Below are 19,412 nucleotides of genomic sequence, written 5' to 3'. Positions count from 1 at the left end.
CCAAGAATCAGTATATATCAGCTGAACCAAAATTTGTTTGATGAACGGTGGGAATGGGGGAGAAAGTTTTAAACTCACAAGCTATACTCACACAAGGCTTAAACTTGATTCAAAATATTTCAGCAACATCATCTGATGGAATAAGATTTTGCTATTAAACACAAAATACAAAACAGTACTGAGGAATCTATGCAAATGCACACTGGGGAAAAGTGCAGAGTAATGCCATCATTTAATTCACCCAGCCAAAGCTCACATTTGCAGCACCAACCTTGGCAGGGACAAGGCTTCCTCCAGACTGTTTGGTAATGAATCCCTCTGCAGAGGAGGCCAAAGTGGGCCTGAGCTGACTCCCTCTCCTCCCATCTGCATCCCCATCTTCACTGTAAACTCCAAACAGACAACTTTAGCAATGTCATGGGGAAAGTTTGAAGGAACACCCCAAGCTGTACTTACAATTGGTTTACCAATTGTAAGTCTTCTGAATACCTAAGTCAGCATGCCTTTCACAGGCAAGGTGCACATTTGAAAGAAAAAGCTCTGCAGAGTCCAAATCATCTGTAGGGTGGGGGCGGGGTGGGGGTGGAGTGGAAAAGGTGAACAAGTTAATCTTAAACCCCAACCAAAGTCCTTTCCATATCTTCATTCGTACCTGACTGTAAAATGGATGGCTGCTGAATCACCAGCCCAGCATTTCCTATCATGTCAGTGTCATACTGATAAAGATGAAAGCTGATGTGTTTCTTGAGAGCTTAGAGGGAAAAAGCCAGCTAGGAAATGAGGGCAGAAAGAGGATAAAGTATGTGTGTGTGGAGGTGGGGGAGGGCAAGCTGTTTCAATTCTCAAGTCCAATGCTGACATGAACACATGACACCAAACAACCAGATATTTACTTTTTAAGGCAGGTTAATGCTCCAGTTGAATTTGCTCTGGTTTAAGAGTTCTCCTTTCAGAAGGGGAAAAATAGGATTTTGTGAAACTGATTTTAAAAATCATCTGATAGCTATCTAATGATACACTATATATCAAATGAGGCCCCCACCTTTAAGGATATTAAGGCAAAATGAAGATCTGCAACAGCTTCTAGCAGGAAAGAAAGAATCCTATTACATCACTAGGTAACATGAGCACCGCATCATCCTCCTTTGTAGTCTGGTTTCCTTAGAAACGCAATTGTCAGGCCCCTCTCAAAGAGCAGGCAGTGATTAGAATCCTACAACAGACTGCTTGCAATTCTCCAGATCCCCTGCTCCCGGGGGGCATGCTTCAGTCCTTGGTCAGGCTCAAGTCTGCTTACCTTCAATCACAGTTTTCTTTTTTTCTGCCTCAAGGAAGAAATAACCTTGGCAGCCCGCATTTGGTCATTCAGGTTGGGGAGCTTTTACAAAAGAAGCCCCAGTCTGAAGTGCTTTAGAAGGGCACTTGCTGCATTCTCTGCCTTTCACAGCAACAAACGCCACCTAAAGAACTACCAGTGTTCCCTGGCGGTCAGAATGTGATGTCACTGTTGGAGTCACGTGACCAGACCTTTGGACCAGCCTGGGAGAAAGGAAGATTTTTAACCGGGCACAGAAGCCTTAAAGATGTAGTCTCATCTAAACAAATGCCATCAAACTGCGGGCAGTCGGGTCAGCTCAGGAAACCTGGGTCCAGACAAGTCTTAGTCTTCATTTAGCAGAAAGTCCAAGAAGGCAAAGTAGAAATATCCAAAAGAATTTAGAGTTACAGGGGTCCTAAGTATAAAAGGGAGAAAGGCAAATATAAAAAAGGTTTTTTAAAAAATACACTAGATAGCAGCAACGTGGGTAGTCTCACAAACCTAATGCTGAGTGAAAGATACCAGACACAAAAATGCACAAAACATTCATTACGATTCTATGCCTCTAAGTTCAAAAACAGGCAAGCAAGTTATATCATTTTAGAATACAAATGTAAGTGATTACATTTCAAAGAGAAGCAAGGAAATGGCAAAAGTAAAGACAGAAGCTACCCAGAGTAGAGGGCTGCCATGTGGGAGGGGCACATGGCAAGGGCAGGGCTTCTGGAATGCTGGTCATTTTTCTTGATCTGGGAGGTGGTTTACCTGAGTGTTCACTTAATAATTATTCTTTAAACTGTACACATGTTTTATGCTTATGTACAAATCATAATTAAAGGAAAACGTGAAAAACTAAACTTCATATGAACTTACTATACAAGGTCAGTTCTTTAACAGCACCTCATCACTTTGAAAACCCAGAGTATAGTCAAGAAAATGAGTTGTTTCTGAGTAGTAATGCTCTACGCAGAAAGCAACAACAACTCTGGTACTCATTAATCCAACCTGGATGAAAGTAGCTATTTTAGCCTGACAATAAATTCACTATGATGTTTCCATGGTTTTAAAGGGTTGTGAAGGCTATTTTAAAGCAGGTCTTAATTAATTGTGCAATAAGGTCAGTCCGGTAAAGAAAAATAAAATTGCTATCTCCCAACTCCCTAAATTGGGAGGATTCCCTAAGGGAACCCAAAGGACAGCCACTGTTAAACATTAACCCAGTCACAGTGTGCTGTAATAACTGGACCCTATGTGTAGAGCTTTGAAATAGTATTACTTGCATCAATTCTTAAGGTTCGATACACCCTGAAATGTTAATACAACAAAACCTTATGAAATGTGAGGCACTGCATGGGACCTGTATGCTTTCAGTTCATCATTGTTATATTATCTCACTCACTTGATGAACTAATCTAGCATTAAGGAGGAGGATTGAAAATGAAGTGGCAACTGACTGTATTAAGTGGCCATGAGCTACATTGCTGTAAAAAGCAAAAGCCATTTGTGGCCCAACTGTGACTGTCTTTTTTTTTTTTTTGCTCTGGAATTTCTCTTTCTTTCTTTTTTTTTTTTTTTTAATTATACTTTAAGTTTTAGGGTACATGTGCACAATGTGCAGGTTAGTTACATGTGTATACATGTGCCATGCTGGTGCGCTGCACCCACTAACTCATCATCTAGCATTAGGTATATCTCCCAATGCTATCCCTTCCCCCTCCCCCCTCCCCACCACAGTCCCCAGAGTGTGATATTCCCCTTCCTGTGTCCATGTGATCTCATTGTTCAATTCCCACCTATGAGTGAGAATATGCGGTGTTTGGTTTTTTGTTGTTGCGATAGTTTACTGAGAATGATGGTTTCCAATTTCATCCATGTCCCTACAAAGGACATGAACTCATCATTTTTTATGGCTGCATAGTATTCCATGGTGTATATGTGCCACATTTTCTTAATCCAGTCTATCATTGTTGGACATTTGGCTTGGTTCCAAGTCTTTGCTATTGTGAATAATGCCGCAATGAACATACGTGTGCATGTATCTTTATAGCAGCATGATTTATAGTCCTTTGGGTATATACCCAGTAATGGGATGGCTGGGTCAAATGGTATTTCTAGTTCTAGATCCCTGAGGAATCGCCACACTGACTTCCACAATGGTTGAACTAGTTTACAGTCCCACCAACAGTGTAAAAGTGTTCCTATTTCTCCACATCCTCTCCAGCACCTGTTGTTTCCTGACTTTTTCATGATTGCCATTCTAACTGGTGTGAGATGATATCTCATAGTGGTTTTGATTTGCATTTCTCTGATGGCCAGTGATGATGAGCATTTCTTCATGTGTTTTTTGGCTGCATAAATGTCTTCTTTTGAGAAGTGTCTGTTCATGTCCTTCGCCCACTTTTTGATGGGGTTGTTTGTTTTTTTCTTGTAAATTTGTTTGAGTTCATTGTAGATTCTGGCTATTAGCCCTTTGTCAGATGAGTAGGTTGCGAAAATTTTCTCCCATGTTGTAGGTTGCCTGTTCACTCTGATGGTAGTTTCTTTTGCTGTGCAGAAGCTCTTTAGTTTAATTAGATCCCATTTGTCAATTTTGGCTTTTGTTGCCATTGCTTTTGGTGTTTTGGACATGAAGTCCTTGCCCATGCCTATGTCCTGAATGGTAATGCCTAGGTTTTCTTCTAGGGTTTTTATGGTTTTAGGTCTAATGTTTAAATCTTTAATCCATCTTGAATTAATTTTTGTATAAGGCATAAGGAAGGGATCCAGTTTCAGCTTTCTACATATGGCTAGCCAGTTTTCCCAGCACCATTTATTAAATAGGGAATCCTTTCCCCATTGCTTGTTTTTGTCAGGTTTGTCAAAGATCAGATAGTTGTAGGTAAGCGGCGTTATTTCTGAGGGCTCTGTTCTGTTCCATTGATCTATATCTCTGTTTTGGTACCAGTACCATGCTGTTTTGGTTACTGTAGCCTTGTAGTATAGTTTGAAGTCAGGTAGTGTGATGCCTCCAGCTTTGTTCTTTTGGCTTAGGATTGACTTGGCGATGCGGGCTCTTTTTTGGTTCCATATGAACTTGAAAGTAGTTTTTTCCAATTCTGTGAAGAAAGTCATTGGTAGCTTGATGGGGATGGCATTGAATCTGTAAATTACCTGGGGCAGTATGGCCATTTTCACGATATTGATTCTTCCTACCCATGAGCATGGAATGTTCTTCCATTTGTTTGTATCCTCTTTTATTTCCTTGAGCAGTGGTTTGTAGTTCTCCTTGAAGAGGTCCTTCACATCCCTTGTAAGTTGGATTCCTAGGTATTTTATTCTCTTTGAAGCAATTGTGAATGGGAGTTCACTCATGATTTGGCTCTCTGTTTGTCTGTTGTTGGTGTATAGGAATGCTTGTGATTTTTGTACATTGATTTTGTATCCTGAGACTTTGCTGAAGTTGCTTATCAGCTTAAGGAGATTTTGGGCTGAGACGACGGGGTTTTATAGATATACAATCATGTCATCTGCAAACAGGGACAATTTGACTTCCTCTTTTCCTAATTGAACACCCTTTATCTCCTTCTCCTGCCTGATTGCCCTGGCCAGAACTTCCAACACTATGTTGAATAGGAGCGGTGAGAGAGGGCATCCCTGTCTTGTGCCAGTTTTCAAAGGGAATGCTTCCAGTTTTTGCCCATTCAGTATGATATTGGCTGTGGGTTTGTCATAGATAGCTCTTATTATTTTGACATACGTCCCATCAATACCTAATTTATTGAGAGTTTTTAGCATGAAGGGTTGTTGAATTTTGTCAAAGGCTTTTTCTGCATCTATTGAGATAATCATATGGTTTTTGTCTTTGGCTCTGTTTATATGCTGGATTACATTTATTGATTTGCGTATACTGAACCAGCCTTGCATCCCAGGGATGACGCCCACTTGATCATGGTGGATAAGCTTTTTGATGTGCTGCTGGATTCGGTTTGCCAGTATTTTATTGAGGATTTTTGCATCGATGTTCATCAAGGATATTGGTCTAAAATTCTCTTTTTTGGTTGTGTCTCTGCCTGGCTTTGGTATCAGAATGATGCTGGCCTCATAAAATGAGTTAGGGAGGATTCCCTCTTTTTCTATTGATTGGAATAGTTTCAGAAGGAATGGTACCAGTTCCTCCTTGTACCTCTGGGAGAATTCGGCTGTGAATCCATCTGGTCCTGGACTCTTTTTGGTTGGTAAACTATTGATTATTGCCACAATTTCAGCTCCTGTTATTGGTCTATTCAGAGACTCAACTTCTTCCTGGTTTAGTCTTGGGAGAGTGTATGTGTCGAGGAATGCATCCATTTGTTCTAGATTTTCTAGTTTATTTGCGTAGAGGTGTTTGTAGTATTCTCTGATGGTAGTTTGTATTTCTGTGGGATCAGTGGTGATATCCCCTTTATCATTTTTTATTGTGTCTATTTGATTCTTCTCTCTTTTTTTCTTTATTAGTCTTGCTAGCGGTCTATCAATTTTGTTGATCCTTTCAAAAAACCAGCTCCTGGATTCATTGATTTTTTGAAGGGTTTTTTGTGTCTCTATTTCCTTCAGTTCTGCTCTGATTTTAGTTATTTCTTGCCTTCTGCTAGCTTTTGAATGTGTTTGCTCTTGCTTTTCTAGTTCTTTTAATTGTGATGTTAGGGTGTCAATTTTAGATCTTTCCTGCTTTCTCTTGTGCGCATTTAGTGCTATAAATTTCCCTCTACACACTGCTTTGAATGCGTCCCAGAGATTCTGGTATGTTGTGTCTTTGTTCTCTTTGGTTTCAAAGAACATCTTTATTTCTGCCTTCATTTCGTTATTTACCCAGTAGTCATTCAGGAGCAGGTTGTTCAGTTTCCATGTAGTTGAGCGGCTTTGAGTGAGATTCTTAATCCTGAGTTCTAGTTTGATTGCACTGTGGTCTGAGAGATAGTTTGTTATAATTTCTGCTCTTTTACATTTGCTGAGGAGAGCTTTACTTCCCAGTATGTGGTCAATTTTGGAATAGGTGTGGTGTGGTGCTGAAAAAAATGTATATTCTGTTGATTTGGGGTGGAGTGTTCTGTAGATGTCTATTAGGTCCGCTTGGTGCAGAGCTGAGTTCAGTTCCTGGGTATCCTTGTTGACTTTCTGTCTCGTTGATCTGTCTAATGTTGACAGTGGGGTGTTAAAGTCTCCCATTATTAATGTGTGGGAGTCTATGTCTCTTTGTAGGTCACTCAGGACTTGCTTTATGAATCTGGGTGCTCCTGTATTGGGTGCATATATATTTAGGATAGTTAGCTCCTCTTGTTGAATTGATCCCTTTACCATTATGTAATGGCCTTCTTTGTCTCTTTTGATCTTTGTTGGTTTAAAGTCTGTTTTATCAGAGACTAGGATTGCAACCCCTGCCTTTTTTTGTTTTCCATTTGCTTGGTAGATCTTCCTCCATCCTTTTATTTTGAGCCTATGTGTGTCTCTGCACGTGAGATGGGTTTCCTGAATACAGCACACTGATGGGTCTTGACTCTTTATCCAACTTGCCAGTCTGTGTCTTTTAATTGGAGAATTTAGTCCATTTACATTTAAAGTTAATATTGTTATGTGTGAATTTGATCCTGTCATTATGATGTTAGCTCGTTATTTTGCTCATTAGTTGATGCACTTTCTTCCTAGTCTCGATGGTCTTTACATTTTGGCATGATTTTGCAGCAGCTGGTACCGGTTGTTCCTTTCCATGTTTAGCGCTTCCTTCAGGAGCTCTTTTAGGGCAGGCCTGGTGGTGACAAAATCGGTCAGCATTTGCTTGTCTGTAAAGTATTTTATTTCTCCTTCACTTATGAAGCTTAGTTTGGCTGGATATGAAATTCTGGGTTGAAAATTCTTTTCTTTAAGAATGTTGAATATTGGCCCCCACTCTCTTCTGGCTTGTAGGGTTTCTGCCGAGAGATCTGCTGTTAGTCTGATGGGCTTCCCTTTGAGGGTAACCCGACCTTTCTCTCTGGCTGCCCTTAACATTTTTTCCTTCATTTCAACTTTGGTGAATCTGACAATTATGTGTCTTGGAGTTGCTCTTCTCGAGGAGTATCTTTGTGGCGTTCTCTGTATTTCCTGAATCTGAACGTTGGCCTGCCTTGCTAGATTGGGGAAGTTCTCCTGGATAATATCCTGCAGAGTGTTTTCCAACTTGGTTCCATTCTCCACATCACTTTCAGGTACACCAATCAGACGTAGATTTGGTCTTTTCACATAGTCCCATATTTCTTGGAGGCTTTGCTCATTTCTTTTTATTCTTTTTTCTCTAAACTTCCCTTCTCGCTTCATTTCATTCATTTCATCTTCCATTGCTGATACCCTTTCTTCCAGTTGATCGCATCGGCTCCCGAGGCTTCTGCATTCTTCACGTAGTTCTCGAGCCTTGGTTTTCAGCTCCATCAGCTCCTTTAAGCACTTCTCTGTATTGGTTATTCTAGTTATACATTCTTCTAAATTTTTTTTAAAGTTTTCAACTTCTTTGCCTTTGGTTTGAATGTCCTCCCGTAGCTCAGAGTAATTTGATCGTCTGAAGCCTTCTTCTCTCAGCTCGTCAAAATCATTCTCCATCCAGCTTTGTTCCATTGCTGGTGAGGAACTGCGTTCCTTTGGAGGAGGAGAGGCGCTCTGCGTTTTAGAGTTTCCAGTTTTTCTGTTCTGTTTTTTCCCCATCTTTGTGGTTTTATCTACTTTTGGTCTTTGATGATGGTGATGTACAGATGGGTTTTTGGTGTGGATGTCCTTTCTGTTTGTTAGTTTTCCTTCTAACAGACAGGACCCTCAGCTGCAGGTCTGTTGGAATACCCTGCCGTGTGAGGTGTCAGTGTGCCCCTGCTGGGGGGTGCCTCCCAGTTAGGCTGCTCGGGGGTCAGGGGTCAGGGACCCACTTGAGGAGGCAGTCTGCCCGTTCTCAGATCTCCAGCTGTGTGCTGGGAGAACCACTGCTCTCTTCAAGGCTGTCAGACAGGGACATTTAAGTCTGCAGAGGTTACTGCTATCTTTTTGTTTGTCTGTGCCCTGCCCCCAAAGGTGGAGCCTACAGAGGCAGGCAGGCCTCCTTGAGCTGTGGTGGGCTCCACCCAGTTCGAGCTTCCCCGCTGCTTTGTTTACCTAAGCAAGCCTGGGCAATGGCGGGCGCCCCTCCCCCAGCCTCGCTGCCGCCTTGCAGTTTGATCTCAGACTGCTGTGCTAGCAATCAGCGAGATTCCGTGGGCGTAGGACCCTCCGAGCCAGGTGTGGGATATAGTCTCGTGGTGCGCCGTTTTTTAAGCCGGTCTGAAAAGCGCAATATTCGGGTGGGAGTGACCCGATTTTCCAGGTGCGTCCGTCACCCCTTTCTTTGACTCGGAAAGGGAACTCCCTGACCCCTTGCGCTTCCCAGGTGAGGCAATGCCTCGCCCTGCTTCAGCTCGCGCACGGTGCGCGCACCCACTGGCCTGCGCCCACTCTCTGGCACTCCCTAGTGAGATGAACCCGGTACCTCAGATGGAAATGCAGAAATCACCCGTCTTCTGCGTCGCTCACGCTGGGAGCTGTAGACCGGAGCTGTTCCTATTCGGCCATCTTGGCTCCTCCCCCCGTGACTGTCTTATTCCATTAAACTTTTAGAAAAGTATGTCTATCTCATTCAAAGAGGGTAATGTGCCTAACCTCTAAAGCCTCCTTCCAAGTTGTTCGTTAGTAAACACAATTTTACCTGTAACAGTATCTGAAGACCACTAAAGAATTCACTTATATTATCTAGTATGATTTACATTATCTATAAGATTATTTCACACTTTAGCAGCTATAGTATTTAGCAGTCGATTTAGCAAAGATACTATCTTTTTTGGTACATAAAAATATATAGTTCCTATGGATTGCATAGCTGGTGCCACGTTATTGACTTTTAATGAAAGTTCATGTGTTTTTCAAATGCTTTATCAGCACTTCCAAGGAAGGGACTTTTTTTTTTATTCCATGTACAGTTACTTCCTTTGAGAACTAGAGGGCTGGTGGCTATGATTCAGTCCTCATACTAAAACAAGATTTAATGACAATTTAGATTAAGAAATGAGGCACCAGTATCAGAGTTTGACATGCTTTATTTCTTTTATTCTTTTCTACTCTCCATTCCTTCTCTGGCAAACTTACCATCTTTAGTGTGTGTTCATTATACAGACTGCCCAGTGTAGGTCAATTGATATTATTGTGAAAATAAGATAAAGAAATTCTTACCAACTTTTAATGCATCCTATGATAAAAACACAATAATAGACTATTTTGAGATAAGCAGAATTCTTTCTGAAACACTGATCTGACCAGATCATTTCCCAATTTTTACAATGCCAGTGGCCCCTACAGCAATATTTTGAAAACTTTTAGCACATGAAGACCTCTAAATGGTTAACTGACACAAGTGTGGACTGTGAATTTAAAAATATTCATCATATTTTTAGAATAAGAAAAACAATATATTTTAAAATGTATAACAATGATGATGATGACAGCCATTGCTACTATTTTAGGTTTCATCAGTGAAAAGGTTTAACTTGTTCACACACTTTCATCAAGATATCTATAGCTGACTTGATGACAAACAGCTTAAGTCATTGGTCATATTCCACATCTAGCTGGTTTCTTTTCTTAGCATTTTTAAAACTTAATAGAAAGAAAATAAATTTTTAAAAATTAACTGTCAAGAATGGCAACAGAAATGATCTACCCATTAACTAATGATGCACAAAGTAACAAAATGCAAAAGGCTTTTCAAAAAAACAATGCATTAAGAGCTAAGCTTCTGGCATGTAAATATGCTGCCAAGGAAGGCAGAGAAAAATTAAACAATGAGCCTACACATCAGGTTGGGGTACTTAGGTGAGTCTAGATTTTTGTCTCTATAAGAAAAAAAAAAGTAAAACTTATCTCAAATTTTGAAGGCATAGTGAATGTTATATATAAAATAACTTAATGTTCTAACAAAAATTATTCAAGTTAAAGTACAATTAGATCTCAACTTGAATGATAGAACAAAAAGCCCCCAAAAGGCTAATTTGCATTGCCTGAGTCCAGGAAAAACATACAGTAAACCAGTCAGAGAAAAAAGTCAACATTGAAACAGCTTTCCCGTTAGGGTTATACTCGGATCTAAAGACTTAACAACAGGTCTCTAGAAACACACTGCTTGAATGAGGAGGCATATAAATGAATGTATTTAACTCAGTTCTCATTATGGAAATCACTGTCTAATTTTTTTTTCTAAAAATCACATGATGCTTTAAACTGGAAAACCCCTTAAAATACAAGAAAAAAAAAATCTGTTGAGAATAATGTTTATTTAAATCCCTAACCAATATGCCATTAGAAATTTACCTAGGGGGCTGAACAGTAACTGATTAAGTGAACTAGTTAAACACTAACAAAAACACAAGAGGAAAAAGAATAGGAAGAAATCTCATGCACAGACCCTGAAGTACTGCTTTAGTAATATCACAGCTGCATTAGGGCTCACTAATTGGCAACAACCTAAAGAAATAAATAAGCATTCAAAGAAATGGGGCAGGGCTATTGGTATATATCACAGGACTTGAAAATAGTCCCTTTAAAAAATGTATTTCAGTTTTACAGCGATATATTGTATTTTTGCAAGGCTGGAACCAAATGTACAAAAAATTCAACATTATGCCTAACACACATCAGCAGATATTCATCCTGTGGTCATTTAAACTTTACTTGCATTCAACAGCAAATACTAAGAGCCTATTATATGCCACTTCTTACTTCCATACCCGCATCCTGCTTCCCTTCTTGTACTGGTTCATCCATTCTAGATCTGCCAATAAGTCACATAAACTCTTTCACATCCCATTTCACCTATTTGTCTGATAGTACATTACAGCGGAAGCCCTGATAATTAATCAACATTTGTAGGAACTTTCTATCTAGCAACTTGTGCCTTCATTTTGCTTCTATTTTGTTTTCCCACTCAATTAAGTCCAGTGGCCAAGAAGCAAATGTAGTTGGAGTAGCCCTCCCATCTAAGAAACTATCCAGGAGAGTCCTGGATAGTATCTATCCAGGAGAGTCCTGGATAGTATCTATCCAGGAGAGTCCTGGATAGTATCTATCCAGGAGAGTCCTGGATAGTATCTATCCAGGAGAGTCCTGGATAGTATCTATCCAGGAGAGTCCTGGATAGTATCTATCCAGGAGAGTCCTGGATAGTATCTATCCAGGAGAGTCCTGGATAGTATCTATCCAGGAGAGTCCTGGATAGTATCTATCCAGGAGAGTCCTGGATAGTATCTATCCAGGAGAGTCCTGGATAGTATCTATCCAGGAGAGTCCTGGATAGTATCTATCCAGGACCACATTATGCTTTAGTGTACTCTTAGTTTGACCCCTGGGACACTTATTCAGGGCAGCTATTCTGTTGATATGCATCTGTATGCCATACCAGTTTGCTAAATACTGAAATACTTCAGTAGCTACAGATAAATAACCACTTTTTCCTCAGGACTCTCCTCCCCCACCTCACCCTACCCTAGAAACTCCTGAACTTACCCATGATCCAGCGGCTGGAATACCAGGAGGCTCCAGGACACTGCCCCAGTGCTATGTCTGACAGCCAATATCACTGGGCAGTGCCTGCATTGTTTTGAATCTCATCCCTGCACTCATTTCATTTAGTGATCCACTGCTTTGGTTCCTGTTCACAGCAGGTTAAAACTTGAAGGTGTCTAACACGCAGGAAGGACAACAAAGAAGAAACTCTATCCCGACTCTGCTGAGAGCTAGACAATAAAAGGGGTGGTGAAGGATGTGGGAAATGGAACTGCAAGAACTCCAACAAATCTATGATATTGAAATGAAGTTTGAGAGTTATGAGAAAAAAACAGGAAGGTTGGGCATGGCAGAAAGGCATAGGGAAAGCTGTGGAGACAAGCATGAATTCAGATTCTAACACCTCCTTCTGACTCTTTACTCCCAGTGGATACAGCTCCATCTTTACTGGGTTGTGGCTATTTTCTTGGGGTGTATCTCTTGTAGTCCTCTTATTCCCAGCATCTGCTCAAATCTGGAAGTTCCTGACTCAACTCACTTTCATGACCAGTGGAACCAGGGTGCTAACTGACAGAGTTATCAAAGTAACCAAAACAGCATGAGGACTTTGGCTTGGTATCTGCAGGCTCCCACTGGACTAAGATGCCACAGAAAGCAATGTGGCAATGAAGTAAAGGGGCTAGATTTGACAAAGTTGCTGAGAGGGCTCCCCACAAAAAGTAAACAGCGCCCCACTCCCTTACTTGTTCTTCATTCCTTCCTTCTCAATTGTACACATTTATGGGACTGACAAGAGAATGGGGAATGTGATGGGTAGGGAGACACTGCCCTAAAATGCATATTACATACCACAGTGTTGGGAAATCCTTTGGGTAGCACGATCCTGCCTAATAACTTCTAATTGTTGTTTTAGAAGCAGCAATTCTCCAGTTCTTCTGTCCTAAGTCTACATTGGTTTCTATTAATTTCCAGAAGGAAACTGGGCACACAAGACTAGCAATTATTCTTTAGTGGGGGGAAAATTTCAAGACAGAAAATACCAATTGTGAGATTCTCCTTGGATTCATAGGAATTGTGTGATGTCATGGACAGAAAAATAAGTTTCAAAAAAGCATATATATATATATCTATATATATATATCTCATGTGGGAATTACTTAAAGACACAGTTGCACCTGTGCACACCAATGTATGTGTGTTATTCATTGCAGCACTGTTTGTAGTAGCAAAAACCCAGAAACAATGAAAGTATCTAGTAATAGGGAAATAGTGCAAGCAAAGAAGTAGACTGATGTGTACTGAAATAGAAATGTATCCCAGACATATTATATGAAAAAAGCAAGTCACAAAATAAGCAGAATATGTCTTTTTTTAAATGTGTGTCTGTATATGTGACTGGATAGAGAAAGAACTGGAAGGATCATACTGAATTCTTTTTGGTGGTTGTCTCTGGAGTGGGAAGAACAAGGGAGACTTTCACATTTTAAAAACCTGTGTATTGTTTGAATCTTTTATAGTGAGACATATTTATGTGTTATGTAAGTGATTTTGAAAAGAAAAAATACTAGCAATGCAACTGGAAGAACAGAGACAGGACATTGCAAGGAGCAGACTTATGTTCTGGGAGGCAGATTACTGGGATACTTGTGGACAAAGTAGGTGATAGTTTCTGGTCAACACTAAGAGGGAAAGCCCTGAGAGGAAGAACGCTTATTCAGTTTTTAAATAAGAACAAAGTGTGATCAGACCTATTATCCTGCAGTGAGAAGATGTGGATTCCAATCCTAGCTCCATAACTCACTAGTTGTGTCACCTTGGGCAACTGCCTTAATCTCTGTGGGTTTACAGGTTTTCCATCTGTAACATGAAGGTGTATTAGTAAATATAATGTTAAGGTCCCTTCCAAATTCATACTGTATCATTTTAGCGATGATTTTTTGTTTGGTCACTCATATATTGGATTGAATGACTTCTGAGAGGCCCTTATCTTTGAAGAATTCCAAATGATATTTTGATTGCATAGCTAACTGAGAATGTTCTACTGGCAAGATCATAAAATGGTGCTACCAATCCTTAGAAAAGCTCATCAGTGAGGTACAGGACAATCTAGTATCTCACTGAGACCCAACATTTCTGGCATGTGGTTAACTACACAGAGCTATACTCATACGGCTACAGTATCTCTGGATTACCTGTTAGCCCCAGATCTTAGAAACATATGGCACATACCCCCTGAAGCATTACAGCAACTGCTTCCTCTACCACGTGTCATGAATTGGAACAAAGTGGAGCCGAAAGTATATTTCCTTCAAGAAAGGACCAAAGTGGTTTTATTAAATGAAAATGGGGAACCTCTGGATTCAGCTCCTGCAAGCAAAGAACTTAGAAGTTATTGCTCTCACCCTTACAAGAAAAGGTTGGATAAACCAAAAAAAATCAATGATCTTTCTTGGACTCATTGGAGAACTGAGGTTGCAGAGGAAACTGCCACCCCAAAATCTGAAGAGAGAAGCTTATTCAAAGAGACACAGCTGAGATCTGCTTACCTGGAGTAGAAATGGCTGGAGCTGGTAGAAACACAAATGGCAACTTGAACAAGCTGCTGAAGGCTGAGTGTGGACTGGCGTGAGTACAAGAAACTCTTGGGGACCACGGTCTTAGGGGAGCTCCCACACCAAAGCTCTACATCCAGGAACCCCACCAAGTTCTCACAGTGAAGATCTAAGAATCCCTCCTGGCTCTGACAAGGGGAGGGAAAGAGAAATCATTGTGAAACTTGCCAGATATTTCTCCATAACAAAGGCCTCAGGGGAAAATACTTTGCCTGAGCCTTATCCCAGTTGGGAGAAGGACATTCCTCCCACTCCCATCCCATCTAGCCTTCTTATCTCACCTAAAGCAGGGGAACATACTCAACAAGGTGCAGGGCTTCAAGTAAACACATTGGGAATGCTGCAGTCAAAGAAGAGAGTAGAGGGCAGGGAGGACAAAAAGTATACTACTGGAGAAAAATGTATGAAGGTCACAGCCACAAAACACAGTTCCATCAAACAGTGACATTTAATCAGAGGATTATAAAATTACCACCTCCCCCATACTTCACCACCACCTCATCAGGGCTCCAGTATAATAATAGTGGATCACAGTTGAAAGAGCTGCAAGACACAGACTCTCTAGAGGAGTTGTCCTCAGGGAAACTCACAATCAAGAGGAGAGACAAAAACAAGCACACTAGAGGAATTTGAAGCCTCTGGCACCTAGATACACCAAACATGAAATACAGCCCAAGTCCTAGCCAGTTTGCTGTAAATCCTAACACAATGGAATTGAGCTATTAATAGAAGCCAATAACAGAAAAATAGCTGGAAAATCCTCAAATACCTGGAAATTAAACAACATATTTCCAAATAACTTGTAAGTCAAAATGTCTCAAGACAAATTTTAAAATATTTTGAAATAAATGAAAATATAATATATGTGAGAAGTAACATTGAGGGATGCAGCAAAATCAGTGCTTAGAGGGAAATTTATAGGCTTAAATGTATATATTAGGAAAGAAGATCTAAAATCAATAACCTAAGCTTCCATCTTAGGGAACTAGGAGAAGAAGAGAACAATATAAGCCTAAAGCAAACCAAAGACAATAAGAAATTTAGAACAGAAATCAATAAAATTGAAAAAATAGAGAAAAATCAACAAAAGCAGGTTCTTTGGAAGGATCAACAAAATTGATAGACTACTATCCAAGCTAACCAAGAAAAAAAAGAGCGGAGACACAAATTACCATATCAGAAATGAAGAAGATGTCATGACTCCCGGTCTCTCAGACATTAAAAGGATAATAAAGAAATACTATGAACACAAATTTACTAACAGGTGAAATGGACCAACTACTTGAAAGACACAAACTACCAAAACTTACACAGGAGAAACAGAAAAATCTGAAGAGCCCCACATCTATTATTATTATTTTTTCACTGATTAACTGAATATAATTGACATTTATCAACTTCTTCATCCAACAACAGCAGAATACACAGTCTTCTCAAGTTTACACATATTTTGTAAGATACACCACATCCTGGGCCACAAAACACACTTTAAAAAGATTAAAAATCATACAAAGTTTGCTCTCTTACCAAACTGGAATTAAACTAGAGATTAATTAATTAAACAAAGAGAGCTAGAAATCCCAAAATACACAAAGCTTAAACAACCCACTTCTATTTTTCCTCCACCTCTATGAAGGTACAACTGACAAATAAGGTGTACACGTTTTTATATACGTATACACTGTAAATTATTAAATCAAACTAAATACATTCATTATCTCACATGCTTATTTTTTGTGGTGAGAACATTTAAAATACATTCACTTAGCAATTTTCAGGCATACAATACCTTATTATTAACTATCATCGTGTTGTAAAATAGACCTGCAGAACTTAAATGTATTCCCTATTATTATTATTGAATCAAAAATTAATAACCTTGCCAAAAAGAAAGCACCAGGCCCCCATGGTTTCACTGGTAAGTTCTACCAAACATTTAAGGATAAAATTATACCAATTTTCCCCAATCTCTTCCAGAAAACTGTAGCGGAGAGAACACTTCCTAAGTTACGCTATGAGGCCAACATTAAACGATATGAAAACCAAACAGAGACATTACAAGAAAGGAAAACTACAGATTAATACCTTTCATGAACATAGATGTAAAAATCCTTTTAAAATATTAGAAAATTGAATTCGACATTGCATAATATCAGTTATCTCCAACCAAGTGGAATCCCAACCAAGTGGAATTTATTCCAGGTATGCAAAGCTGGAGCAACATTTCAAAAATCAATGTAATCTAGCATAACAATAGGCTAAAGAAGAAAAGTCATATGATATCCATTGACAACAAAAAAGCATTTGACATAATTCATAATTTAATATCCATTCATGATTAACTCTCAGCAAAGTAGGAATAAAGTATAATTTCCTCAACTTAATAAAGAACATCTACCAAAAAAGGCCCTACAGCTAATATCACAGTTAATAGTGAGAAACTAGACTCTTTTCCCCTAAGAGCAGGAACAAGGCAAGGATGTCTTCTCTTACCATTCATCTATTCAACATCTTAGCTAGTAAAGTAAGACAACAAAAGGTAATAAAAAGTATACAGGTTGGAAAGAGAGAAATAAAACTGTCTTTATTTGCAGATGACATAACTGTCTATGTAGAAAATCCCAAAGAATCCTAAAAAAATCCTGAAGGGGAAAAAACCCAACCTCTTAGAACTAATAAAGACAACATAGTAAGACTCCAGGATATAAAGTCAATATACAAAAGTCAATTGCTTTCCTTATACCAGTAATGAACTAGAATTGCAAATTTTAAAAAGCAATACTATTTACAATAGTCACCCCACCCCACTCCAAATTAAATACTTAGAGGTCGAAATCTAAGAAAATATATACAAGATCTATATGCAGAAAACTACAAAATACTGATTAAAGAAACTAAAGATCTGAATAAATAGTCAATGTTCATGGGATGTAAAACTCAGTATTATTGAGATTTCAATTCTTCCCAGCTTGATCTATAGATTCAACACAATCCCAACAGAAACCCAAGCAAGTCATTTTGCAGCTACAATAAACTGATTCTAAAGCTTCTGTGGAAAAGCAAAACATCTAGAGTATCCAACACAATGTTGAAGCTGAACAGTTGGAAGGCTCACACTACCTCATTTCAAGATTTACCATAAAGCCATAGTAATCAGGACAGCATGGTATTGTCAAAAGAAAAGATGCATAGACGAAGAGAACAGAATAGAGAGCCCCAAAATAGACCCACACAAATACAGTCAATTAATCTTTAAAGAAGGCGCAAAGGCAAATCAGTGGAGAAAGGACAGTGTTTTTAACAACCAGTGCTGCAATGACTAGGCATAAGTATGTTAAAAAGATAATCTAAACAAAGACTTTCCTCCTTTTATAAAAATTTACACAAAATGTACCATTGACCTAAATGTAAAATGCAAAACTATAAAACTTCTGGAAGATATCATAGGAGAAAATCTACATGATTTTGGATTCAGTGATGACTTTTTATATACAATACAAATAGCATGATCCAGGAAAGAAAAAAAATTAATAAGTTAGACTTCACTAAAATTAAAAATTTCTGGTTTGCAAAAACTACTGTAAAGAGTATAAAAAGACAAGCCACGGCCAGGCGCAGTGGCTCACGCCTGTAATCCCCGCACTTTGGGAGGCCGAGGTGGGCGGATCACGAGGTCAGGAGATGGAGACCATCCTGGCTAACATGGTGAAACCTCGTCTCTACTAAAATACAAAAAATTAGCCAGGCGTGGTGGCAGGCACCTGTAGTCCCAGCTACTCAGGAGGCTGAGGCAGGAGAATGGCGTGAACCCAGGAGGCGGAGCTTGCAGTGAGCCAAGCGAGATGGAACCACTGCACTCCAGCCTAGTCAACAGAGCGAGACTCCATCTCAAAAAAAAAAAAAAAAAAAAGCCAAGAAGACAAGCCACAGACTAGGATAAGACATTTACAAAATATATATCTGATAAAGGACTGGTATCCAAAATACAAAGAACTAAAACTCAACAATAAAAAAAATCCCAATTTAAAAATGGGCAAAAAACCTGAACCTCACCAAAGAAAGATGTACATATGGCAAATAGCACGTGAAAAGATGTTCAACATCATTTGTCATTAGAGAAATGCAAATTAAAACAATGAGATACCACTACATACCTATTAGAATGGCTAAAATCCAAAACACTGACAATACCAAGGATGCAAACTAACAGGAACTCTCATTCATAGCTGGTAGGAATGCAAAATGGTATAGCCACTTTGGCACTTTGGCAGACAGTTTGGTGGCACTTTTTTTTATGAAACAAAACAAAACAAAACATAGTGTTACCATATGATCCAACAATCGCACCCCTAAATACTTACTTACTTGATTTGAAAATTTATATCCACATAAAAACCTGCACACAGGTGTTTGTAGCAACTTCATTCATAATTGCCCCCAACAGTAAGCAACCAAGATGTCCTTCAGTAGATGAATGGATAAACAAACAGTAGTATATACAGACAATGGAATACTATTCAGCAATAAGAAGGAATGAGCAATAAATCCACACAAAGACATGGATGAATCTTAAATGCATATTGGTAAGTGAAAGAAGCTAATCTAAAAAGGTTATATTCTGTATGATTCCTTTTACATGATATTATGGTAAAGGCAAATTTATGGAGACAATAAACAGGTCAGTGGTTGCCATGGACTCAAGAGAAGAAGGGATTGAATAGGTAATGCACAGGGGACTTGTTAAGGCAGTGAAACTATTCTACATGATACTGTAATAGTGGATACACTATATATTTGTCAAAACTTATAGAACTTCACAGCACAAAGAATGAACATAATGTATGCAAATTAAAAAAATCATTTAGGAGACTGAAGATCCCAGGATAGAATGCAGCATGTGAAAAAAGAATCTAACTGCATCA

The 19,412-nt window shown here is 39.2% G+C and overlaps 1 protein-coding gene across 8 annotated transcripts in view; it reads right to left on the bottom strand.

Annotated features, from left to right (window-relative positions):
• CLCN5 (chloride voltage-gated channel 5) overlaps window positions 1-19,412 on the bottom strand; it is a 176,635-nt gene that overhangs the window by 30,173 nt on the left and 127,050 nt on the right. Inside the window, exon 5 of one of the 8 annotated variants that reach the window (NR_199781.1) lies at window positions 1,298-1,733. The exons of 4 other annotated variants lie outside the window; for them this stretch is intronic. The gene's annotated coding sequence lies outside the window, so the exon portion shown is untranslated. Of the gene's footprint in view, window positions 1-1,297; window positions 1,734-14,424; window positions 14,640-19,412 lie in introns of those variants that run through there. 3 more of the 8 variants (XM_047441808.1, XM_047441807.1, NM_000084.5) reach the window with 3 other exon arrangements.

This window comes from Homo sapiens, chromosome X, assembly GCF_000001405.40.
Source record: "Homo sapiens chromosome X, GRCh38.p14 Primary Assembly".
Classification (NCBI taxonomy): domain Eukaryota; kingdom Metazoa; phylum Chordata; class Mammalia; order Primates; family Hominidae; genus Homo; species Homo sapiens.
Note: the sequence above shows the minus strand (reverse complement) of the source record. Positions and strands in the feature narration are given on the sequence as shown.